Source organism: Homo sapiens, chromosome 20 (genome assembly GCF_000001405.40).
Source record: "Homo sapiens chromosome 20, GRCh38.p14 Primary Assembly".
In the NCBI taxonomy this organism is placed as follows: domain Eukaryota; kingdom Metazoa; phylum Chordata; class Mammalia; order Primates; family Hominidae; genus Homo; species Homo sapiens.
Window position 1 is genome coordinate 31815091 of NC_000020.11, and position 23477 is coordinate 31838567.

At 54.1% G+C, this 23477-nt stretch overlaps 1 protein-coding gene across 1 annotated transcript, besides 10 other annotated features; it reads left to right on the forward strand.

Moving 5' to 3' along the window:
* Window positions 594-1396: an enhancer, noted in NCBI's record as "H3K27ac-H3K4me1 hESC enhancer chr20:30403487-30404289 (GRCh37/hg19 assembly coordinates)". NCBI's record gives its function as "activates a minimal SCP1, AML or CMV promoter by ChIP-STARR-seq in naive H9 embryonic stem cells {active_cell/tissue: H9 hESC(naive)}" and the evidence as "EXISTENCE:reporter gene assay evidence [ECO:0000049][PMID:30033119]".
* MYLK2 (myosin light chain kinase 2) lies at window positions 4266-19594 on the forward strand. Its single transcript, NM_033118.4, has 13 exons — window positions 4266-4338; window positions 4443-4542; window positions 5036-5456; window positions 6349-6647; window positions 8387-8492; window positions 9169-9262; window positions 11515-11624; window positions 11707-11848; window positions 15729-15799; window positions 15923-16051; window positions 16613-16765; window positions 16914-17046; window positions 18627-19594. Exons 2-13 carry the CDS (start codon window positions 4491-4493, stop codon window positions 18705-18707), a joined length of 1791 nt encoding a protein of 596 aa, NP_149109.1. The 5' UTR covers window positions 4266-4338; window positions 4443-4490; the 3' UTR covers window positions 18708-19594.
* Window positions 4750-5291: an enhancer, noted in NCBI's record as "H3K4me1 hESC enhancer chr20:30407643-30408184 (GRCh37/hg19 assembly coordinates)". NCBI's record gives its function as "activates a minimal SCP1, AML or CMV promoter by ChIP-STARR-seq in primed H9 embryonic stem cells {active_cell/tissue: H9 hESC(primed)}" and the evidence as "EXISTENCE:reporter gene assay evidence [ECO:0000049][PMID:30033119]".
* Window positions 7621-7680: an enhancer, noted in NCBI's record as "active region_17700". NCBI's record gives its function as "activates an Ori minimal core promoter by ATAC-STARR-seq in GM12878 lymphoblastoid cells {active_cell/tissue: GM12878}" and the evidence as "EXISTENCE:reporter gene assay evidence [ECO:0000049][PMID:35858748]".
* Window positions 7981-8030: a silencer, noted in NCBI's record as "silent region_12765". NCBI's record gives its function as "represses an Ori minimal core promoter by ATAC-STARR-seq in GM12878 lymphoblastoid cells {active_cell/tissue: GM12878}" and the evidence as "EXISTENCE:reporter gene assay evidence [ECO:0000049][PMID:35858748]".
* Window positions 8148-8675: an enhancer, noted in NCBI's record as "H3K4me1 hESC enhancer chr20:30411041-30411568 (GRCh37/hg19 assembly coordinates)". NCBI's record gives its function as "activates a minimal SCP1, AML or CMV promoter by ChIP-STARR-seq in naive H9 embryonic stem cells {active_cell/tissue: H9 hESC(naive)}" and the evidence as "EXISTENCE:reporter gene assay evidence [ECO:0000049][PMID:30033119]".
* Window positions 8676-9202: an enhancer, noted in NCBI's record as "H3K4me1 hESC enhancer chr20:30411569-30412095 (GRCh37/hg19 assembly coordinates)". NCBI's record gives its function as "activates a minimal SCP1, AML or CMV promoter by ChIP-STARR-seq in naive H9 embryonic stem cells {active_cell/tissue: H9 hESC(naive)}" and the evidence as "EXISTENCE:reporter gene assay evidence [ECO:0000049][PMID:30033119]".
* Window positions 9403-9903: an enhancer, noted in NCBI's record as "H3K27ac hESC enhancer chr20:30412296-30412796 (GRCh37/hg19 assembly coordinates)". NCBI's record gives its function as "activates a minimal SCP1, AML or CMV promoter by ChIP-STARR-seq in primed H9 embryonic stem cells {active_cell/tissue: H9 hESC(primed)}" and the evidence as "EXISTENCE:reporter gene assay evidence [ECO:0000049][PMID:30033119]".
* Window positions 11596-12096: an enhancer, noted in NCBI's record as "H3K4me1 hESC enhancer chr20:30414489-30414989 (GRCh37/hg19 assembly coordinates)". NCBI's record gives its function as "activates a minimal SCP1, AML or CMV promoter by ChIP-STARR-seq in primed H9 embryonic stem cells {active_cell/tissue: H9 hESC(primed)}" and the evidence as "EXISTENCE:reporter gene assay evidence [ECO:0000049][PMID:30033119]".
* Window positions 18956-19586: an enhancer, noted in NCBI's record as "H3K27ac-H3K4me1 hESC enhancer chr20:30421849-30422479 (GRCh37/hg19 assembly coordinates)". NCBI's record gives its function as "activates a minimal SCP1, AML or CMV promoter by ChIP-STARR-seq in primed H9 embryonic stem cells {active_cell/tissue: H9 hESC(primed)}" and the evidence as "EXISTENCE:reporter gene assay evidence [ECO:0000049][PMID:30033119]".
* Window positions 21952-22799: an enhancer, noted in NCBI's record as "H3K27ac-H3K4me1 hESC enhancer chr20:30424845-30425692 (GRCh37/hg19 assembly coordinates)". NCBI's record gives its function as "activates a minimal SCP1, AML or CMV promoter by ChIP-STARR-seq in naive H9 embryonic stem cells {active_cell/tissue: H9 hESC(naive)}" and the evidence as "EXISTENCE:reporter gene assay evidence [ECO:0000049][PMID:30033119]".

Genomic DNA, 23477 nt, shown 5'->3' on the forward strand with positions numbered 1-23477 from the left:
CAGTTTAGTCCTTGTCACAGTAGAGCCCCCAGTAATTAATCTTAGCAATAAAATTCTATAACTGTGGGATGGAACAGTGTGTCAATTGCGTTTTCGGAGAAACCTATGTCCAATTTGCACACAGAACGCCCACAGACCTCTGCTTACTAGCTTGGCTGGAAGGACAGGGTCTGCTGTAAGGACAGCAACCTTACCTAGGGCTTTTCCAGAGGCCTGAGAGGTCCTGCCAAGGCCCTGGGCTCAGGGGTCCAAGGTGGGAGAGGGCGAGAGAAAACAACGTGCTAATGCAGCCTTGAGTGGCTCTCAAACAGGAGCAGAGGGAAGGCTGTGAGGGGAGTTGGCTGCTCTCTTTGGAGTCAGAAAGGTTGTTGCTCAACTCTTTGGATTTTCCATCACAGCTGGGCAGGGAGAGGGTCAGACTGGGCATGACTTCTCCGAACAGGTCCTTTTAAAGCCTCTTGGCTGAACTGATTTCCTCTCCAGAGCCAAGGAAGCAGTGCCTGGGTGAAGTTAACCCCTTCACCCCCAACACATTCTTCCAGAGCTAGGTGAGCCTGGAAGCCTAGGCTCCTGGAAGGCAGAGCTACACAGGGCAAGAGGCCTAAGGAGCCGTGAACTCTGGCTGGAGAAACCTTCCCTCTGGCCTTGTTAAATCCAACAGGCATAATTGCATCCTGCTGACCTTAATTCCCCTGGCGGGTTTAATTGGTCTTGGCATTGCCCCACTTCCTGTCCTGCCCCTGTAGAGGCAAAGAGGGTGTCTGCACAGCTGGTGCAGGGCGGGGAAGCCCCTTCTTGAGGGTGGGCAGGGGCTCTGGCAGCCCCTAGGTGGGTGGAGGAAGTTTCCCCGTGCCCCACCCCTGTGCCTCCAAGGGAGTGCTGAGAAGCTTGGGGACTCCCAGGGAGCAGCTGGCTGGAGCAGGCAGTCCCGTAGATTCGGAACCAGGCCAGACTCTCATCCCAGTGGGAGGCACTGCAGGGGAGCTGGCGGGAACAGATGAACCCTCTACCTGGGGTGTCCACGACATTATCAGGCCCCCACAGTGCTGTAGGTACTGTGCCATTGGGCACTCTTTACATGTGTGCTGGCTAAATGCTCGCAGCCATGCTGTGAGAGGGAGGCAATGGGGCAGAGCAGTTATGAGCAGAGCCTTGGGTTAGATGGGTCCAATCCCAACTCTATGACTTTGCCCTGTGACTCAGTTTTCCTGTCACATCTGTGAAATGGGGATTAAAGAGCTGACATTTATACAGCACTCGCTATGCTCACACTCACTGTTGTAATGCTTTATCTACCTCCTGGGAGGCAGATGCTCTCCTTACGGATGAGGAAACAGGTGAAGACATTGTTCCAAGCTCACAGTTACTGGTCGCAGCGCTTCATTGACAGATCTCCTAATCACTGCATGGTAGGGAGTTGTAAGACTCGAAGGAAGGATACTCATGAAGCTGCTTACCCCAGGGCCTGGTCCATTTTAGAAAGAGTTCAATAAGAGTAATTATTTGGGAATAATAATTATAACAAAAGTAGCACTAATGCCCCTGAAGTTGTCCCAGGCTGGATTTTGGTCTCATTGGGAGGTGGCTCTGGATTTGAATGTGGGTAGTTTGAAGCCATTCACTAGCTGAGTGACTGTGGGGACAAGCCACTTCCCTCTGTGAGCATCAGTTTCCACACCTTTAAAATGGTGTAACATTGGCCCCTACAGTCCCTTCTGAGGATCCAGGGAGCTGGATCTTTGGCATAGTCTGGCCTGGCCGTTGGTGGGCACTCAATAAATGACTGGTATTGATAACCACAATAATAACAAGGAGATGCCAGCAAGGTCCAGCATAGGGAGGTAACAAACTCCAGTCTGGAGCCTTCTGGTTAATCAGTTATTTACTCATCAGACACTGATGGGCAAGTCCACTCTGTGCTGGGGATGTGTTTAGCCCCTGGCCTTCAGGGGGCTCCCAGACAGTGTCAACCAATGGTGGGATCAGCTGGGGCACTGTGGGGAGGCCAGAAGCAGGGGACCCAACATTCCAAATTAAACTAAAACATGCTCTGGGCCAGATAGAGGGCCAGGAGGTCCTAATGATCCGCATTAGGACAGGAAACATTTCAACCTTTTGAATGCTGCAAGATCCACAAAGGGGTTACTCAGCAGGGAGAAGGGGGCAAGGCACAGGCTGGGACATTTTAGGAAGGGAAGAGGGCTTTGGAGTTTGAAGAACGACATTCCAAGCTCAACTCCCTTCCTTGCTGAGTGACTTTGGGCAAGCTACTGATTCCTTTAACTCTCCTCGTCCTCATGCAGAAAATGAGATGAGCGCTCCCCACAGAGTTATCATCAAGATGATGCTTAAAGGCAAGATGGCTAAAACGAATGACAGGTGCTCAGCAAGTGGAAGCTCCCTTTCTGCAGGGGACCTGGGTTCAGAGCTCAGTTCAGCCCCTTCCAAGCTGTGACTTTGAGTAAATTACATAACCTCTCCATGCCTTGGTTTCCCCATCTCTCTAGTACCTACCGCACTGGGTTCTTCTGAAGACCATTTGGGTGGATCAACATGAGAGCATGCAGAGCGAGGCCAGGCACGTGGTCAGTACCGTATAGGCATCAGCTGTTACTTTTGCTTCCTGGAAGAGGCAGACTGTTAACTGGACCTTAAAGAAGAGAAATGGAGGAGAGGAGGACCGGGCCTGGAGAGGAGGGCCAGGCAGAGCAAAAGTAGTCAAGACTGGGGAAAGAGCTCCAACTATGGTTTTTACCAGCTTATACCAAAAACCCTTGACATTTGCTCACAAAACAAAACATCCCACTCATTTTGAATAGTAGCCTGTTCACATAGTTCATGGTTCAAACAGAAAAGTCAAAGTATATACAGTGATGTCTCCTTCCCACCCTTGGGGCCCAGTTCCTTGCTTATCCTACCAAATAAATTCTTATGTGCATAAAGTGAAATATATATTATTCATATATTATTCTCCCTTTTTTTTTTGCACAAATGGATAGCACACTCTACATGCTACTTTGCATCTTGCTTTTTTTATTCCCCCCACTTTGGTGGTCACTTTTTGTCAGTTCATTAACAGCTTCCTCAATCTTTTTTTACAGGTTCCTATTTCCCCACTGCTTAGAGGGGCTGCATTCTCCCTCCTTTCTCTCATCAAGCGTTTTTCCAATGGCTTCCCATTTGACAGAGGAGCCGAGGCCATGGAGTGAAGTGACTGGTTTGCTGCAGTCAGGACCTGAACCTGGATAACCACTCTACAGCTACTTCATTTTATCTTACTTTTTAAAATATAAAGACGGGGTCTTGTTATGTTGCCCAGGCCAGTCTCCAACTCCTGGCCTCGAGTGATCCTCCTGCCTCAGCTTCCCAAAGTGTTGGGATTACAGGTGTGAACCACTGCTTCTGGCCTCTACAGCTACTTCTAATGCACCCAGGTCTGGCCAGTTCTCAAGAGCCCCCTCTGAGAAAGGCTCTGGGTGATGGAAGGCTCCTTGGATCATAGCTGTCCTCATCCTATCTCGAACACCTCAGGCTAGAGTGCCCCTCGGGCCACCCCTGTAGTGGAGCATCCTTGAAAAGACTCTCTGCCAGCCCCCTTCTTCCATGTGGGTCATGGGTGAGAACTGGATGAGCTTGGGGGAGGGGCACAGAGCACTCTCCATCTCCCATGGCTACTCAGGGCAGCCTCCGTGTCCCCAGGAGCCCAAGAAAAGGACAGTTTCAAAAGAAAAAGCTTCCAGGCCTATGGACATGTTGAGAAAGTGCCCCCGAGACAATTTCTTACCCAAAGGTGACGCAAGCAGGTCCAGATGTCGAGGCACAGAGCTAGGCACTAGGGTCAGGGAGATTATCCCTGGGACTTTGTGGCTCTAGCCAGGTTCTGGGGAGCCCCAGGAGATGTGGCACACAGGTGGGCAGACCAGGGCTCAGCCTGGGCATACTCTTGCCCTTCAGGCCTGCCTGAGTACTCCCCTTCTTCCAGGCCCCCTCTGATCCTGTCCAAGTCAGGGATACTGAGCAAGGCCTGGGGAAAGGGCTGCTCCCCCAGCGTCCCAGATACCCCTCCCTTTTCTCGCTTGTTCCAACATCATTCTCCCCCCAGTCGGGCCATGGGAAGAATGCCGTGTCCTCTGAACTGGGGCCAAGAGTGACAGGTGGCGGCAGTCCCAGCTGCATGGCCCCTGGTGTAAGAGATCCTCTCCTCCGTCCCCGCCTCCACTGCCCACACCCCTGCCTCCGCCTCTGCCCACCCGGCCCAATCCCTTACAACTGCCCAGGACTGCTCCTGAGCAGCCGCTGGGAGACAGACGGCAACCAGGTTGCCCCTCTTTGCTCCAGGTACCTCTCTCCCCTCAGTTAGCAGGCCTCGGCTTCCTGTCTCACTGCAGCCAGACGAGAGGGGAAATTGGACAGCCTGACACACTCCACTCTTGTTTCTGCAGCTAGAAAGACTTGAGTTAGACAAGCAGCAGCACACGCCTCCCTACCTCATGGCGACAGAAAATGGAGCAGTTGAGCTGGGAATTCAGAACCCATCAACAGGTGCCAAGCTGGGGCAGGAGATGGAGGGAGGAGCTTGGGAAGGGGGGTTTTGAATCCAGGACTGGGCAGGTTCCTCAGTGGGAGTTCTGTGCCCCAGCCTTGTTTGCATGGTGCACGGGGGACCCAGAAATCAGAGGAATCTCTGGCTAGGGTTGGGCTGGGTCCAGGGCCTGTATGAAGCCCTTCCTGGAGAGACCAGGAAAATGTGAAGCCACCAGGGATGGCTGCTGGGGATGCACCTAAACAGTCAGGGCAAGGATGATGGGGGCCACCAAGGCCCACCCAAAGGGCTGGAAGCCTCCCACAGAGGCCCTCCAAGGTCGTGGCAGCTCATCTCTAGGGGCCATCAAGTGGCCCCAGAGACTCAGTGGGACAAGCATTTGCAAGTTGTTGCCTGGGTGGGAACCTGGGCCCAGAGCTGGTCTCTGCCCAGCCTGGGTGAGAGGGAAGGAAAGGAGGGTGGATCCTGATGGGTGTCTCACCTCCTCTGCAGACAAGGCACCTAAAGGTCCCACAGGTGAAAGACCCCTGGCTGCAGGGAAAGACCCTGGCCCCCCAGACCCAAAGAAAGCTCCGGATCCACCCACCCTGAAGAAAGATGCCAAAGCCCCTGCCTCAGAGAAAGGGGATGGTACCCTGGCCCAACCCTCAACTAGCAGCCAAGGCCCCAAAGGAGAGGGTGACAGGGGCGGGGGGCCCGCGGAGGGCAGTGCTGGGCCCCCGGCAGCCCTGCCCCAGCAGACTGCGACACCTGAGACCAGCGTCAAGAAGCCCAAGGCTGAGCAGGGAGCCTCAGGCAGCCAGGATCCTGGAAAGCCCAGGGTGGGCAAGAAGGCAGCAGAGGGCCAAGCAGCAGCCAGGAGGGGCTCACCTGCCTTTCTGCATAGCCCCAGCTGTCCTGCCATCATCTCCAGGTGAATATCCCCTCCTGGGAGTGGGGAGGGGTCCTGTGGTTCTGTCCCTAGGGGTCCTGCTTAATTCCCTTGTCTTAGGCATGGTTATCATCACATTCAGTGCTGGGGAGTGTAGTTCTGACATTCAGTTTCCTCTGTCCTGTGAATTGCCTCTACCGCCTTGTCCCCTGCAGAAACCAGAACCCTGCCACAATTCATACAAGACTGGAGTAAGAGAGACCCTCAAAGACTGCCTAGGTTGAACATATCTTCTCTAGGCTTCTGGGGTCCGAAGTTCCCCTTACTCCATGGGCTTGGGTCTAGCCAAGGGCAGGGTTGAGATGGCAGGCAGAAAGGCTAAAGGTGTCAGGCAAAAGGCTGTGTATTTCCTAGGACATCCAGTATTTTCCTGTTCTTCTTAATATAATTATTGGTAAGATATGAAAAGATGACTAATAACCAGATTGGAGGATCATTGATAATATTTTCATAACCATAATATAGCACATGTGTGATGCCATCAGTTATACTTACCTGAATGCTAATGAGGTCATTAATGATATATTGTAAGCCACAATAAGAACATTTACCATATCACTTTGATAATTATGTATCAATTATATCACAACAGATTTTATGAATCAAGAGCTACATAACTCCCTAGTTGTATCCACATGATGATTAACCATATCAACAATCCTATTAATAGTTATTAATGATGTATTAGTGTGTTGGTAGTCAAGATAATGACCACAGCCATGAACATCCCTTAATTTTGTACCAGGTGAATTTGGCTGTATTACACCATGCATTTGGGGTGGGGTTGGATTAGCTCTGCAGATTGCATTGAGACTTGCCTGATGCCACAGGCTGTGGCCGCTGAGGGCTTCACCTCTGTGTTCTCACCTTCTAGTTCTGAGAAGCTGCTGGCCAAGAAGCCCCCAAGCGAGGCATCAGAGCTCACCTTTGAAGGGGTGCCCATGACCCACAGCCCCACGGATCCCAGGCCAGCCAAGGCAGAAGAAGGAAAGAACATCCTGGCAGAGAGCCAGAAGGAAGTGGGAGAGAAAACCCCAGGCCAGGCTGGCCAGGCTAAGATGCAAGGGGACACCTCGAGGGGGATTGAGTTCCAGGCTGTTCCCTCAGAGAAATCCGAGGTGGGGCAGGCCCTCTGTCTCACAGCCAGGGAGGAGGACTGCTTCCAGATTTTGGGTAGGCCAGGGGCAGGTGGGGGCTGGGGCTGCCCTGGGGCCAGGGGGAGGGAAGGGGGCTGTCAGTCCCAAGTCTACCTATTCGGAGGTCTGAACTGCCCTGAGCCAAGCCTTACCCAGGCCCATTCATCTAAGGGTCACACAACTCCAGAAAGTATTCCTTTTTTAACGTATGTTTATTCATTTGTTTATTTGTTTTAAAAGATAGGGTCTTGCTACGTTGCCCAGGCTGGCTTCAAACTCCCAGCCTCAAGTGATCCTCCCACCTTGGCCTCCCGAGTAGCTGGGACTACAGGCGTGTACAACCATACCTGGCTTTCTTCAATCTTATTTTTTAAGATGTATTTTTATTTTTAAATTTAGTATTCCCTTTTGATAGATGGGGAAAGGAAGGCTCAGAAAAAGGAAAATGAAGTGCCCAAACATATCCAGTGAAGACAGGATTTGAACCTGTCAGGCCACCCAGACTCCAGAACCCACTTTTGAGTTTTTTCTACTTTGACTAAAATGAAGTTAAAAAAAAGAAAAATCAGGCAGATTATTGGAGCAACACAAACTCCCTGGGCAATGGAATTTGGAGTCAATCTGTAGAAGGGCTCAAATGCCAGGCTTAGTAGCTAAACTGTATAGTGGGGTGGGGTCGTGGGAGCTATAGAGGGCTCATGCGCTGAGGAGCACAGGTGCCTGTGTGTGGGAGCAGTGACCAAGGAAGCTGGGCATGTGCAATGGGGCAGGACTGTGGAGTGGCCTTCATTGATGATTAGACAAGCAGCCCGTGGCTTGTTCATGGGCTGCAGAGAGCACTGAGTGTGAGTGAGCTTGGCCAGCAGGTGAATAGGGAAAGGGCCTGGGCAGGGGTGCGGCAGGGCTGGGGGTGGGGTGAGATGGGGTCAGGAGAACCCAGAGTGTCCTGACACCCCCCTGCCTCCAGGCTGAAGTGCCCTGGGAGACCCGCCAGCCTGCCTGGTGAGCGGCACCGTGCCACCCAGACAGGGTGGGAGGACCTGGCGGCTGGGCGGCAGCCAGGAGCCCTGCCTCCGCCCCTAGCAGCCGCAGAGACCTCCGCCCCGCCCCGAAATCGCATCCTAGAGTGACAGGATCTGAACCACCTCCAAAGGCCGTTTGATTTATCACCAGCCCGGCTTCCCTGCCGCCTCTTGCTATTTATAAAGAGGTTTCCATTCCTGATGACCGCCTGCCGGCCTGCCAGCCTTCAGGGCGAGCGGTTCCCCACACTTGCCGCTAGGTGGCGCCCTCTCCCCACCAAACAGCACGGTCCCCGGTCCCGCCCCGCCATGGGTGGTCTGGCCAGATTGCGGTGTTATTAGGATGGAGGGTGGGCAGGTCCCACCACCTACCCCATTATTCAGACATAGCAACCCCACTGCCTGGCATTCCGCTTTATAGCTGCTGTGTTTGATTGTTTTTGGTGGAAATGCAGATAGCTTGGGATGGAGTCCTTGTGTCTTATAATGCAGAGGGTCCAAAAAGTCCAAGCTCCCATCCCGTTTGTTCTGCCAGGAGAAGCTGGTCCTCCCTGATAGGAGTGTTGTGTTGGTGGCAGAACTGATATTGGAAACTGGGCCCCATAGCCCCTATCCTGGAGCCAGGTGTCCCCCAGGTATCACTTGGTGAACTTAACTTCCCTAGATGGGGCCCAGGCCAGCAGGAGGGGTGGTGCCAAGGGGAATCCTCAGCAGCCCCTGGCACTGACCATGAGGGCTGTGCTCTGTCCCCCAGATGATTGCCCGCCACCTCCGGCCCCCTTCCCTCACCGCATGGTGGAGCTGAGGACCGGGAATGTCAGCAGTGAATTCAGTATGAACTCCAAGGAGGCGCTCGGAGGGTGAGATCTGGGACCCCAGCTGGGCACTCATGGACAGAGAGTACACCGGGCTCCTGTGGCTTCACATTTCCCCTGTGCAAGGCCCAGACACACACCCCGCTGAGACATGGCCACATGGACATGTTCACCTCTGTGTGGGACACACACTGTGTGCAGCTGTCACATGCTGATGTGCACTCAGTGTTGCTGTCACTTACTCAGACGCACCGTCAGCCATTCAGTGCTTCCGTAGGAAATACACAGCATTTTTCTGTCTGTCTCAGCTCCAGGCACCACACTGACCCCCTCATGGTGATTCCTGCTTTGTAAAAAGCCCTGACTCAGTCTTATACCTCTGCAGATCCTCCCTCTGCCTGAAGGTGCCCTCCCCCAGGGCCCAGGGCCTGCCTGCCCTAAACCTCTAAGGGTCGCATCCCAGGGCCATCCTCCCTACACGCCTGCTCTTCCTGTGCACGTGGTCTGTGTGGTTCAAAGAACCTGCTTCAGCCATTGTCCTGGCAGAACAGCTCACAGCTTCAGGAGGGAGTCAGGGCTGGCTGGGGTGAGTGCTCCCATCTCACCAAAGGGGATCCAGAGGCACCACTGGGTCTGGGACCAAGTTAGGATCAGAGCAAAGGATGCCACTGACCCCGGTGGGCTCTGGGGTCCCCTCACTTACAGCCTCTTCTCTTTCCAGTGGCAAGTTTGGGGCAGTCTGTACCTGCATGGAGAAAGCCACAGGCCTCAAGCTGGCAGCCAAGGTCATCAAGAAACAGACTCCCAAAGACAAGGTAGTGAGGTTGCGGGGGTGGTGGCTGCCCAGGATGGGGAGGGGATCCTTGGAGTGGGCACCTCTCGCCTCCCTCCACCAGCGCTGCTGAACCTGGGGCCTGGTATGGGAGTTTGTTGCAGTGAAAATACTACACAGATAGAGAGATGGATGGACAGCCCTGCAGCAGGGGCCTGAGGACCCTACCCATAACCAGATACTTCAGTTAGTGAACTTATCTGGGGACTTCCCTTTTAGGCATGGGATATTCATGCCCTCTGGTTCAATTCAACAAACACTGATGAGTGTGGGCTCTGGGCCAGGCCCTGTGCTGGGCACTGGGGGTCTGGGAGTGAAGTGGGTGTGGTCTCCACCCTCAGGGAGCTGAAGCCAAGGTAAACAAGCCTGGCCTAGAGCTTTGCCTCTAGTACCCACGGCCTGGGCTGGGTTCAGAGGAGGCCACGAGCAGTGTTTGTTGAAGGAATGAAAGGATGCAGGCAGGTAGAGTGAGGGAGTCTGCTGTGTGAGGAGGTAATAGCAACCTCGTGTGACCACAGCTGTGACTCAGGGAAACTGCGGGGTAGCATTTTGGGGTTCAAGAGAGCTTCTGACTCAGGCCGAGGGGTCAGGGAAGCTTCCTGGACCAGCTGCCTTTTGAGCGAGGGCTTTGAGGAGACGTTCCAGTGGAGAAGGCAGGGGCAGAGTTTCAGGCAGAGGGGACTATGGGAGGAAAGGCTCGAGGGCCAGAGATAGCAGGAGGTGCTGGGGAGTGAGGTTCTGGGCATCCCAGGCAGAAGCCACAGTGTGGGCACAGGCCCGACCCCAGTGAAAGCGTGAGAAGCAGCTCTAGCCGCTGCAGCCCTGGGTCCCCATTATGGCTCTAAGCACACTGGAAGGAGTGCATTTTCTATGTGACAACGTCCTTTTTCGTCTCTTCCACTTACAGGGCCTGGGTCCGTGTTATTGTCTCCTAGGTCCCAGGCCTCTGTCACAGGCTCTGGCTCAGCATAGATGTTCAGTACCTACCTGCGGCTCAATTAACTGGGGCCAGTTTTCAGTTGATAATTATTGAGCACTTCTCTGCCATTCAGTGGGTCAGGGGCTGGGGAAATGTCAGTGACCTAAAAACACCCCTGCCCTCATGGGCTGACATGCTACAGTGGAGGGAGAGACAACTAAAACATAAAGCAAAAAGAAAAAAGAAAAGAAAAGAGAAGAAAAGAAGGCCTGGCATCAGGTACTGAGAAGTGCTAGGAGGGAAAATAAAGCCAGGTAAGGTAGAGGGGGTACAGGGCTGATGGGGGCGCTTTTAGATAGGGAGGTGAGATCAGTCCTCTCTGAGAAAGACATATGTGAGGTGAGAACTGAATGAAGGGGTGGGTAAAGGCAGAAGGGGAGCCATCCTGGCAGTGAAACAAGGGTTAGTGTTTAACCACTGGATCTGGGTAGGGCAGGTGTGGAGAGAGGCCCGATTTACAGCATTTGCCATTTCTCATGGTGTAAGTATTCCTATTATAGCCGATATATCAGCCTACCGATGTGACAGCTGGCTTGCGACTTTCTGAAAGTGACAAATAATGGTGTCTTAAACTAGGAAGGCAGTGGTGGAGGAGGTGCGAATGATTGGATGTATAATCTAGCTTGAAGGTAGATGATGCTGAAGAGTTGGGTCGGAGGTGGGGTGTGAGGGCGCGAGAGTAAGGGAAGAACTTAGGATGGCTCGTAACTTTTTGTCCTGCACCCTTGGGTGAAGCGTGGGGGTACTTTTGCTGCCAGGCAAGCCGAGAGCAACTCAATTGTGGGGAAGGGACGATGTCTAAGGTCTAATTTTGGACATGATAGATTTGAGATGTCTATTAGACAACTAAGGCAAGTAGACAGTTGGAGATATTGGAGTCTAGAATTCAATGGAGTGCTCAGAGGTTGAGATGTATATTTGGAAATTGATGACTTTGGATAAAATGTAAAGTCATGAGACTTTATGCAGATGCCCAGGGAGAGAGCAGAGAGAGGGAAGCGGTGAGGGGGGAGGATGGAGATCTTGGCATGTCAGTACTCAGGAGAAGAGCCGGCAAAAGGAAGATGTCCCAGCAGGCATGACTTGGGAGTGGTGAGGACCACAGATGTGGGGGTGGGGGAGAGAGGAGAGGCAAGGAGGAGGCTGAGCAGTGATCTGGGCAAGGCTAGCAGGCCTGTTCAAGGGTGCGGGTATGGAGGGTGGGTGGCAGGGAGTGATGGTGCCCAGCTGGTACCCTTGACTTCCCTGGTCCCCAGGAAATGGTGTTGCTGGAGATTGAGGTCATGAACCAGCTGAACCACCGCAATCTGATCCAGCTGTATGCAGCCATCGAGACTCCGCATGAGATCGTCCTGTTCATGGAGTAGTGAGTGCCCGAAGTAGTGGTAGGGGCTGGGTGGGGGTACCACCAGGCACGGAGCAAGCCGTGGAGGGGTCTGTGCACACAGCATCGAGGGCGGAGAGCTCTTCGAGAGGATTGTGGATGAGGACTACCATCTGACCGAGGTGGACACCATGGTGTTTGTCAGGCAGATCTGTGACGGGATCCTCTTCATGCACAAGATGAGGGTTTTGCACCTGGACCTCAAGGTACCAGACTGGGGCCTCCTGGGAAGGGTCAGGGGCAGCCTCCGACCCCCTGAGATCAGTGCTGTCACCAGCCATCCCTCTGCCCTCCCATCCCTCCATCTCTTCCTTCATCCATCCTTCCCTTCATAGATTCAGAAAGGGTTTATGGAATACTTACCAAGTGCCAGGAGCCGGGGGCACAGCAAAGAGAGAGAGGGGGGGAAAAAAAAAAGACGTGGTACCAGCTTTCATGGAACTTCTAGTCTAGTACTAAGTATTTGTTGAAAGGGCCTTTTGCAGTCCTGTGAGCCCCAAGCTCAGTGTGTCACACAGACAAGTGGCTAATAAGTGTTGCAATAGCACCTGCCTCAGCCTTGGCCCATGATAGGTACTAGGAGTGTCTGATCATTTATTCAAAAGCAACAAATATTTCTTGAGGGCCTACTTTATGCCAGGCAATGCTCTAGGTGGTGGAGATCCTGTGGTGAACCAAACAGATAAAAATCCCTGCATTCTTGGAGCTCTCAAATAAGTATAGTGTCAGCGTGGCAATGTGCATGAGGTAGGCGCTAACAACAATGTTTCGTGAAAGAATATTGATATCCTTCTTCTTTTTTTTGAGATAGAGTCTCACTCTGTTGCCCAGGCTGGAGTGCAGTGGCGCTATCTTGGCTCACTGCAACCTCCGCCTCCTGGGTTCAAGCGATTCTCCTGCCTCAGCCTCCCGAGTAGCTGGGATTACAGACACCTGCCACCACACCCAGCTAATTTTTGCAGTTTTAGTAGAGACAGGGTTTCACCATGTTGGCCAGGCTGATCTTGAACTCCAGACCTCAAGTGATCCGCCCACCTCGGCCTCCCAAAGTGCTGGGATTACAGACATGAGCCACTGTTCCCGGCCTGATATCCCTCTTCTGACCTTGCTCACTACCATGCACATGGTAGGTCAGGAAGAGCAGATCTGCTTTTTTTTTTTTTTTTTTTTTGAGACAGAAAGTCTTGGTCTGTTGGCCAGGCTGGAGTGCAGTGGTGTGATCTTGGCTTACTGCAACCTCTGTCTCCTGGGCTCAAGCAATTCTTTTGCCTCAGCCTCCCGAGTAGCTGGGATTACAGGCGTGTGCCACCATGCCCGGCTAATTTTTGTATTTTTAGTGGAGACGGGGTTTCGCCATGCTGGTCAGGCTGGTCTTGAACTCCTGACCTCAGGTGATCTGCCTGCCTCAGCCTCCCAAAGTGCTGGGATTACATGTGTGAGCCACCGTGCCTGGCCACAGATAGGTGTATACATTGCAGCAACTCCAGTCAGTTGTCCGTAGCTGTCCGGAGCTGAGTGTGGAGCTCTGGGTGTGGAGCAGGGAAGGGCAGCAGGAGTGCAGGGGGTTGGCAGTCCTCATGGCAGGTGTTAATGCTGTGCGTTAAGTGGCGGGACATGGAATCTTAATGTGGAGGCGCGTGAGCACCCATCAGCAAAGTGGATGGTACTTTCATTCATTCATTCCATAAGCATATGCTGGGTACTTTCCTTAATTCATTCGATAAGCACGTGCTGGGTACCTGCTCCTGGAAGGCCCCGTGCTAGGCATAGGGACTGTGAAGGAAATGGTCCCTGTCTCATGGAGCCTCCAGGGGAAACAGACATTCATAAAACAATTCCTAACTAAATAGGTCATTTTAAGCCATGAAAAGTGTTTGAGAAAATACACGAGAGTAATGCGGAATCGCACTGGGTGAAATTGAAGTCAGCACGGGTCTGAAGCAGGCAGGGAGATGCTGTTGCCGCCTCTAACACCTGTCCCAGTTTTGCTCTGTGCCCGACACTGTCTGAGTGAGGGTGCCATCTTCCCAACAGTCCCCTGGGTTAGGTGTGTTAATATCACTGCCACTGACAGAGGAGGACACAAACAGGGTGAGGAGGTGGGTTTCAGTGGGGCCAGAGTGGATGCAGGGAATTTAGAGGCTGATGGAGTAAGTAAGCCAGGAGAGAGATGCCAGGGGCTTGAGCCAGAGTGGCAGTGGGAGAGGGGAGGGAAAGGGGCCAGATGGAGGATACATTTTGGAAATAGAGCCAATCTGATGTGCTGAGGGTTTGCATGTGTGAGGGTTAGGAAAAGAAAGGATCAAGGGTGAGTCCTGAGTTACTGGACAGATGGTGGCCCCTTCACTGAGCTGGGGGCAGTTGGTGCCTGCATGATGACATTGGAAGACTGCCTTTCCCTAGTGAAGGCTAATTTCTTTGGGGCAGAATAGGGTCCCCCAATTAAAATGCAGTGCTCTGGGAAGAAGCTCAGTCGTGAGCCTCTGTATCCTAAAATGTGTTTTTTTCAGGATAATAATACGTTTTTTGTCAAAAAAAGTGTTTCACGGTCAAGTAGGTTGAGTGCACCCCAGCCCACAGGCCATGTCCTGGGTCTCTTGGCTGCAGGGCTTCTGAGGGCCTCCTGTGTGTAGATGGAGAATCTCTGAAAGGAAATTTGAGTCTGCTTCATTTCCCCAAATGCTTGTACCCTGGGACCCTTCTTTTCTTTCCTGTTTTGTGGGACACCAGGCCAAACTATTAAAATCATTAGTATCTGCTCTGAGTGAATCTATCAGTTTTAAGAGTGCCTTCAGAAAGCGTCTCCTTAGGGGACTTGAGTCAAATGCCCACAGAGCCCAGACAAATAACAAATACATGTTGAATGGGAGGGATCAGGGGGTGGTGGCGACCATGGGAGAGTTGGAGGACATTTGTCTCATCTCAGGCTGTTAGTGGCAACTTGTTCCAAGGCATATGGCCCATGTGGCCAGGGCTTCCGGTGTTTCAGGAGCTGCTGGAATTCAGGGTTTTTGTGCAGAATCTCCTGCCTTTGAACCATTGTTAACTTAAAAATGTTTATACCCTGCAACCTCAGATTAGTCCTGTGTCCTTGTGTGATAGGAAGAGGAAACAGAGGCCCAGAGTGGAGAGGAACTGGGCTTACAGTAACGTCATCCATGTGTTAACTTGGCTGAGCCCCTACTGGGTGCCTTTGTTAGACCCTGAGGGTGGGACCCAGGAGGCCAGGAGAAGACAATCCCTGGCCTGGAAGAGCCAACCCTGTAGTGTTATATTCACCCCAGAGTGCAGGATCAGTGGTGGTAGCGGAACATCACAAGGCCAGTGCTGGAGTCAGTCATGCGTTCATTTCCTGGCTCCGTCGCTTACTTGCTGGGCAACTGTGGCCGAGTCACTTCTGTGTCTGAGCCTCAGCTTTCTCAGCTGCCAAATGGGAATGGATGGTAATAGTATCTCAATGTCACAGTTTCATCTCAAGATAACAGTGTGTGCCTCCTAGATCTTTGGGAAGGACTGGGGAGCTAAAGTGAGAAAGTGAGTGGACTGGGCCTGATGTTTTGTAGCTCATCATCCTCACTAACTGGGGAGACAAGAGTAGCGCATCTTCCAGTGACCCTGGAGTAGTGTGAAGCCCCGTGTTCCCAAGAGGCTTCCTGTCAGGAACTGAGCTGGCATCTTCTTTCTCTGTTCTCTGGAGCTTCATGTATCTGGTGGTGGTCCTGCACTGGCCCCCCAGCCTGGGGGCGGGGATAGCAGGCTGTCATGCCTCCTCTCCACAGGCTTCTGTTTCCCCATCCTCAGAACTGCTAGAATGTCGTGTTCTTTCATGGCCTTAGATGGAGGGAAATCTCACCTGAACCCATCACGGCAGGTCCTGTGCTTCAAGGCCTCGCATAAGCCCCTCGTGGGGGACTTGCCTCAAGATCTCTCTGTGCCCAGAGCAGGCAGGGCTGGAGGGTCTCTGGCAGCTGCCCACTCTGGCAGCTTGGGCCTCTGCCTCAAGGAGCCTGGGGTTTGCACGGGCCTGGTGGGAGAGGGAGGGTGAGCTGGTCAGAGGCCCACCCAGGCCACCCCCTTTCTCCTCAGCCAGAGAACATCCTGTGTGTCAACACCACCGGGCATTTGGTGAAGATCATTGACTTTGGCCTGGCACGGAGGTACCACCTGGGTGGGTGGGGAGGGCAAGACAAGCCTCTGAGTTGGCAGGGGACAGGGGTGGGGTGGAGGGGGCATGGGTATAGGCCAGGAGCTGTGCTCTCAGCCCTTGGTCTCACCCCCAGGTATAACCCCAACGAGAAGCTGAAGGTGAACTTTGGGACCCCAGAGTTCCTGTCACCTGAGGTGGTGAATTATGACCAAATCTCCGATAAGACAGACATGTGGAGTATGGGGGTGATCACCTACATGCTGTGAGCTCCCAGGCGGGTCGTGTTTATGGGGTTGGTGGGGCATGGGGGCGAGCGGCCGAGGCCAAGATTGGCCCTAGGGTCTTGGTAAGGTGGTCCCACCTCCCCTATCCCTCAGTCAGGGGTTTGCTGGGGTTGGGAGTGCTAGGGAGAACAGGAAAGGGGAACGTGGTACCCATTTCATAGATGGAAAAACCAAGGTCCCTATAAAGGCATAGCATCTGGACAGCAGATCTCGGATGACCTGGGGCGGGCAGAGGGGCAGTGGACATTTCCTATGTGCTCACCACATACCTTGCACTCGTCATTCCTCATCACTGCCACCTAGGAAGCTGGGATGATTATGCCCATTTTACAGATGAGAAGAGTGAGGCTCAGAGAGGGGAGATGACTTACCCAAAGTCACCCAGCCAGATTCAAACCCAGGTCTGTCCCACGAGAGGCTGGGGGTCTTTTCAGCACACGGTGCTGCCTCCTAGGATCTGCCCCTGTTCCCTACCCCTCTGAAGGTGACTCAGCACCTCCAATCTCACCTCCCTGCCCCCTGCTATCCCCTCCCTCTAGGCTGAGCGGCCTCTCCCCCTTCCTGGGAGATGATGACACAGAGACCCTAAACAACGTTCTATCTGGCAACTGGTACTTTGATGAAGAGACCTTTGAGGCCGTATCAGACGAGGCCAAAGACTTTGTCTCCAACCTCATCGTCAAGGACCAGAGGTGAGGCTCACCCCAGAACCTGAACTGTATGTGTGCAAGCTTAGTGTGTCTGAGTGCTGGCAGGGCGGGAGCCAGGTAGAGAGGCCAGCTGAGCCCCTGGGGCCTCACGAGCATGCAGCCCACCGTCACCATGCTGCCTCTCCCCCAGGGCCCGGATGAACGCTGCCCAGTGTCTCGCCCATCCCTGGCTCAACAACCTGGCGGAGAAAGCCAAACGCTGTAACCGACGCCTTAAGTCCCAGATCTTGCTTAAGAAATACCTCATGAAGAGGCGCTGGAAGGTACCGCTGGATTCAGGGTGGGGAGGGAGGGCTTGCTAGTGGGAAGAGCTCCTGGTGCCAGATCCCAGCCTCCACCGTCCCTGCCTTGGCAGGTTCTGTTGACCAGGCTGGGCCCTGTCCGGAAGACAGGGTTGACTTTTCTGTTTTTGCCCTGGGCTGGCTCCTGTCCTAGAGTGGAGACCTCTACCCGGCCTTCCACCCAGCCCCACCCATCTGGGGCTCTGGCTTCCCTCCTTCATTTTTCAAATATTTCTTGAGCATCTACTACTTCTAGGCATTGGGATATAGGAGTGGACAAAAGAGACAAAGATCTCAGTCTTTGTGGAGTTACTTTTGGTGAGAGATGGGGCATTTTCTATCTTTTTTTCTTTCTTTCAATACAGTCTTGCTCTGTCACCCAGGCTGGGGTACAATGGCGTGATCTCGGCCCACTGCAACCTCTGCCTCCCAGGTTCAAGCAATTCTCCTGCCTCAGCCTTCCAAGTAGCTGGGATTACAGGCACCCACCATCACACCTGGCTAATTTTTGTATTTTTAGTGGAGACGGGGTTTCACCATGTTGGCCAGGCTGGTCTTGAACTCCTGACCTCGTGATCCACCTGCCTCCGCCTCCCAAAGTGCTGGGATTACAGGCGTGAGCCACTGTGCCTGGCTGAGGTGGGGCATTTTCTAGAGCCCTGTGGAAATAGGCAGGGTTAAAGAAGACTTTAGAAAAAAAATAAGGGCCTTCTGCCGGGGAGAGGTTGCACTTTTATTTTTATTTTTTTTAGAGACAGGGTCTCACTCTGCCTCCCCAGCTGGAGTGCAGTGGCGCTATCATGGCTCACTGTAGTCTTGACCTTCTGGGCTCAAGTGATCCTCTCCTTTGGCCTCCTGAATAGCTGGGACCACAGACATATGCCACCACATCCAGTTAATATTTTAAAAATATTTTTGTGGAGATGAGGTCTCGCCATGTTGCTCAGGCAAGCAATCCTCCCGCCTTGGCCTCTCGAAGTGTTGGGATTACAGGTGTGAGCCACTGTGCCCAGCCTGCACTTCTAAATAGGGGGGGTCAGGAAGGGCTCACTGAGAAGCATGTGAACAAAGACCTGAAGGTGGGGAGGGGTGAGCCGTGCCAATACTGGGAGAAGAGTATTCCGGGCAGAGGGAGTAGCCAGTGCAAAGGCCCTGAGGCAGAGGTGTGGTTGGAGAGTTTGAGGAACAGGTAGGAGGCCAGTATGGATGGAGTGGAGTGAGCAAGGAGGTAAGGAATGAAGTTAGAGAGGAAGAGGGGGACAGGAGTTGGAGGGACTCATCGGCCATGGCAAGGGGTTTATCTTTTACTTGGAGCAAAACTGGAGCCATGGGAGTGTTTGGAGCAGAGCGGTCCTTGGTTCAGGTCTGGCTGACCTATCCGTTGAGTGAGGGGACTCCTGGACAATACAGTGTCATGGCGCCTCCCGTGGCCATTTTGGGCACTGCACCTTCTCTAGCCTGTGACCCTCCTGGACTGAAGGGGACTTACAGGCTGCTCAGACACCCTGCAGCTGCCCCCCTGCCCTGGTGTTGACTGGGACTCCCTCTCTTCTGCCCTCTAGAAAAACTTCATTGCTGTCAGCGCTGCCAACCGCTTCAAGAAGATCAGCAGCTCGGGGGCACTGATGGCTCTGGGGGTCTGAGCCCTGGGCGCAGCTGAAGCCTGGACGCAGCCACACAGTGGCCGGGGCTGAAGCCACACAGCCCAGAAGGCCAGAAAAGGCAGCCAGATCCCCAGGGCAGCCTCGTTAGGACAAGGCTGTGCCAGGCTGGGAGGCTCGGGGCTCCCCACGCCCCCATGCAGTGACCGCTTCCCCGATGTGAGCCGCCTCGGAGTGTGGCCTGGATCCATCCTGCTAGCACCTCCCCAGACAGGGCTCCAGCCTGTCGGCCACACCCCAGACTCCAGGCCCCCGTTGAAGCCGCTCCCGGTTCCCTCCCCAGCTCCTCGTCTTTGAACTGCCGCCGCCGTGGTGACCCCTGCTTTGCCCCACTGGGAGAGTCCTTAGCCTGGGCCTCCTCCTAGCTGGAGTGCCATGGCTGGGGGGTCTCAGCATGTAGGGCTTCTGTGGTTGTGGATGGGAGGCTCCTGGTGGGGCAGAAAGGCTGCAACGCTGATTCCTAAGGCCCAGCTGCCAGGGAAGACAGAGCAGGCTTTGTGAGAGAGGACCTCCATGCCCCCGCCACCTCCCCACTCCAGCAGATAAGGCCGAGCCCACACCATCTGGCCCAGGCTGGCCCCCACCCACCTTCCTTGCGACCACCAACACACAGGAACTCTGTGTGAGAGAGAGGGCGCCCAGCCCAGGCCTGGTGGAGGGGGAGGGGAGAAGCCAAGGGACACAGGAGACCACCCCCGAGCTTGCCTCAGGGCCAAGCCGGCCCAACCCAACCACTCGGGGCCCCCATCTTGGGGGTCACCCATGGCCTCAGATGATGGGGTCAGCAGGCCCAGGAGAATTAGGAAGGCCATGGGGCAGCCTCCAGTCTGCTCTCAGCTTGTGCCTTGTAAATAAATGTACAGGTTGGATGTGGCCTCCTTCCCTCTGTGTGTGCCTGCACTGGTGTGAGGTCGCTGATGACCACAGTTCACTGAGCACCTACTGTGTACCGGACACTTTAGCAATATCCGTCAGCTCACAGTTTGGTGGTTCATGCAGGCTCAGGTGCCAGTCTGCCCAGCACATGATGTGGGCAGGTGGCTTCTGCACGTTGTGCCTCAGTATCCTCACCTGTGAGAGGGAGGTCGCAGCAACAGCCTACACCGGGTGTGTGATTACTGCGTGCCCAGCTTTACTTAAAGCGCCTGTGCTGTGTTAACTCATTTACTCCTCACAGCAAAGTTACGAGGCAGGATTGATTGGTTGATTGATTGATTTATGATGGAGTCTCACTCTGTCGTCCAGGCTGGAGTACAGTGGTGTGATCTATGCTCACTGCACGCAACCTCCGCCTCCCGGCTTCAGGTGATTCTCATGAGGCAGGTATTATTATTCCTGTTTTACAGAGGGAGAAACTGAGCCAGAGAGAGTGGGCAGCGCTAGGATCTACCTCATAGGGTGGGGCCATGGCTGCAGCATCAGTCAGACTGAGGTAAGGCACTTAGGGCTGTGCTCGGCCCAGGGAACGATAATGTTCTTATCCTTACTCCACATATGAAGAAACTGAGGCTCAGAGGAGAGAAGGAACTTGAATGCCACTCAACAAGTCAGGGACTGGGGCTTGAAAGGAGCTTTTCTGTCTCCCAGAGCAAGGATGTGCCCATGCGTTCCCTCTGCCTCTCACCAGGACAGGGTGTAAGCAGAGAGTCCGGTCTCCAGGTGGAGGCCAGGTCTGGCAGGCCTGCGATGCCTTTGCTGGGTCTACAATGAGGGCCTCAGGGGAGAGGACTGTTCTCTGATTTTTCCCAGTGGCCACGGCCACCTCACCACAAGCCAGCAGTGAGGGGCAGGGGAGGCTCCATCTGGGGGCAGCCCAGAGGGCAAGAGAGCTGAGCCCTGATACAGTGCAGCCTTTCTGGCTGTGAGGACGACTGAGAAGTGGGACTGGCCTGTGGGAACAGAGAGGTTCCAGCAGGAAGAGCAGAGACAGCAGTTAACATGCATCGAGCACCTGCCGGCTGCTGGCCCTGGGCGCCGCATTGTGTTGATGGTCACATCGGCTGCACACGGTGACTCTGCGAGGTGTTGTGTCCATTTCTCAGAGTGTGGAGCCAAGCCTCAGAGAGGTTCAGCCACTTGCTCAGGGCCACATAGTCAGTGGCAGAGCCAGGATTTGTACCCAGATGGTCTGGGCCCAGAGCCCCTGCTCTTCACCACTGCCTGCCTCCTGAGAAACCTTAGGCTTGCCCTCGGACAGAAACCTTGACAGTTCATCCCCTCTCTCCTGCCTCCATGAACACTGGTCCTCACTGCGATCCCCGCCCTGCTTGAGCTGGGGAGTTCAGAGTCCGGTTGCAGCAGTATCACTTGGGGTGGTGAATGGGTGACTCTGAAGTCTGAGCCTGACTCACAGTCTGGGGCTTGGGGGTCCTGGGGAACCTGGCTTGGGCTCTTGGCGGGAGGTGCGCTTATAGGCAGGGCCCCTAGGGCTGTGGATTCCTGCCTGCCTGCCCGTCCGCCACCTGCCAGCTGGGCCAGGCCTGTGGTTTCCTCTGAGTGGTTTTCTTGGCCTCGCTGGCCCCCACCCAGGCTGAGCCTCGGCCACACAGCATGTTGATGAGGGATGAGTCACCACCGTGGGGGGAGGGAAGGAAATGAAGTCCAGCCACAGCAGAGATCCAGGGCCTGGATCCAGCTGGGGAAACCGAGGCCAAGATGGGGAAGGTCCCTCATCAGAGACAGTAACAGCTGGAACTAGAACCCAGGACTCCTGACTCCCAGTGCATGCCTCAGTTTCCCCCTCTGTAATATGAAGTTGATAACCTCGGCTCTTTTCTCCTCTGCCACTCCTAGGGCCATTGTGACAGTTGAGAGACGGGATGGGGTGCTCATGCACCATATTTTACAGGTGAAAAAACAGGTTCAGAGAGGGAAAGTGACTTGGCCAAGGCTACACAGCAAATTAACATGTCCTGTGCAAGAAGCCCATTCAGAACCCAGCCCCACCCCTTCCCAGGAGCACACCTTAGAAAGCTCTTTATGGTTCATCAGGTGCTTCCTCTGGGCCTCCCCTTGTCCCCAGAGGCAGAGAGTATAGATTCAATAATGTGGAAGGGGGAATGTGGGTTCAGAGAGACCTTGTTCCCACTGAGGGCCACGGAGCACACTCAGGGCAAAGCTGCAGCCACTGCCCCTGTGGACAGCTGGGTCTGCCTCTCTGCAGGCTTAGGCCCCAGCCCCATTGCTTTCAAGAATGCTCCCATCCCTGGCAGCTACAAGAAAGAAAGATTTTTCACGCTAGGAGCTGCCCTGATGGAGGGCGGGAGACCATAGCTGGTTTGGGACTGCCAAGCTGGACCAGGACTGAGCAAGGGTTCCCAGGGCATCAGTTCTCTGGGTGTCAGGCTGAGCTTCCCTGTCCCTTGCATGGTTTGCTGTGCCCACCACAGGCACCAGGGCCATGGGCCCCTCCTGCTCAGTGTCCATCTCAACGCTGATGCTGTGTTCTTCCCCTGCAAGGCACCTCTGTGCCTGGGCTTCCCCTGAACGGGGTCCTGGGCCCTCTTTGTAAGCTAAGAAGGGTTAATTAACACTGTCAATGGGAGTGCTCCTCCCAGTTGGTCCCAGCCCAGAGAGCTTTCCTCCAAGACCATTTCCTGCCTCAAGGCCTTAGCCAGGCCCACAGTGACCACCCCCCACAGGTCTGGAAGCCACTAAGCCCACATCTGGTTTGGATTACATCAGGGCTGGTGACACTGCCTTTCCCTTTCTGGGTCCAGTGGCCTTGTATTCCACTGGCCACCTTGGACCCAATAAGACAGTGGTAGGTAAAGATTCAGCCAGTGATAGGGCTGCGCCGAGGGCATGGAGGAGCCAGGGCTGTCCTGAAGGATGTGCCCACCTGGACCATCTCCTACCTATGAAGCTGCCTACGCATCTGTTTCTTCCTTCATGTTAATGGGTAATATTTATTGGCCACCAGGCACTATACCAAGTGATTCCCATCAATTAACTTATTTTGTCCCCACCCTATGAGTAGGTATTTTCATTATCAACATTTCACAGATGAGGAAACTGAGGCACAAGGAGTGTATGGACAAGTCCATGGGCTCCCAGCTGATGAATAGGGGAATCAGGATGTGAGGCAGGCCATCTGACTTCCCACACAGCAACCACTTCACAACCATTTGTTGAGCCCAGCTCTGGGCCTGGCCCCCAGCGAGAGCCTGGGGATGAATGAGTCATGGCCCTTGCCCTTGGGGAGCTCACAGCCTCTGGAACCCCAGTGGGAGGATGGGGATCAGGGTGAAGCTGGAAGGAATCTCATGAAACCATGAGAACAGGAAGGAGACACTAACCCCTATTCTCTTCTCTTCAGTGGGAGTCACATCCAAGCTGAGGGCACACAAGGAGCAGGGCTTTTCCAGACAGAGAGTGAGGAGGGTGTTCCAGGCAGAGGGGACTGCTTGCTGTCCAGAGACTTGCAGCTGAGTATAAGCTCATCTTGGAGCAGGCCAGTAGGGCTTTTGCATGAGACGAAGCAGGAAATAGGTCTGGAGAAGTTAGCAGGAGCCCGAATGGCAGGCTGACATGGGACAATGGGGAGCTGTGGAAGGGAGGTCAGAGATCCATGCTTACAAAGGATCCCTGCAGCCAGGGAGGTCAGTGAATGGGAGAGAGAGGCTGGAGGCAGGGACACCCGGTGGAGGCTGAGCCATGTCTGCTTGAGAGGCTGTTAGCTGTGGGGAGGAGATGGGGGAGATGCCTCTAGACAGATAGGCTGATGACAGAGAGATTGGGTTCCAGGTCAGA

Excerpts from the sequence above, each read along its gene's own strand:
- MYLK2 (NM_033118.4), top strand. The coding sequence starts at position 4,491 with ATGGCGACAGAAAATGGAGCAGTTGAGCTGGGAATTCAGAACCCATCA. Across the intron at positions 8,493-9,168 it reads TCCAAGGAGGCGCTCGGAGG|TGGCAAGTTTGGGGCAGTCT; the intron begins GTGAGATCTGGG and ends TTCTCTTTCCAG. Across the intron at positions 11,625-11,706 it reads ATCGTCCTGTTCATGGAGTA|CATCGAGGGCGGAGAGCTCT; the intron begins GTGAGTGCCCGA and ends CTGTGCACACAG.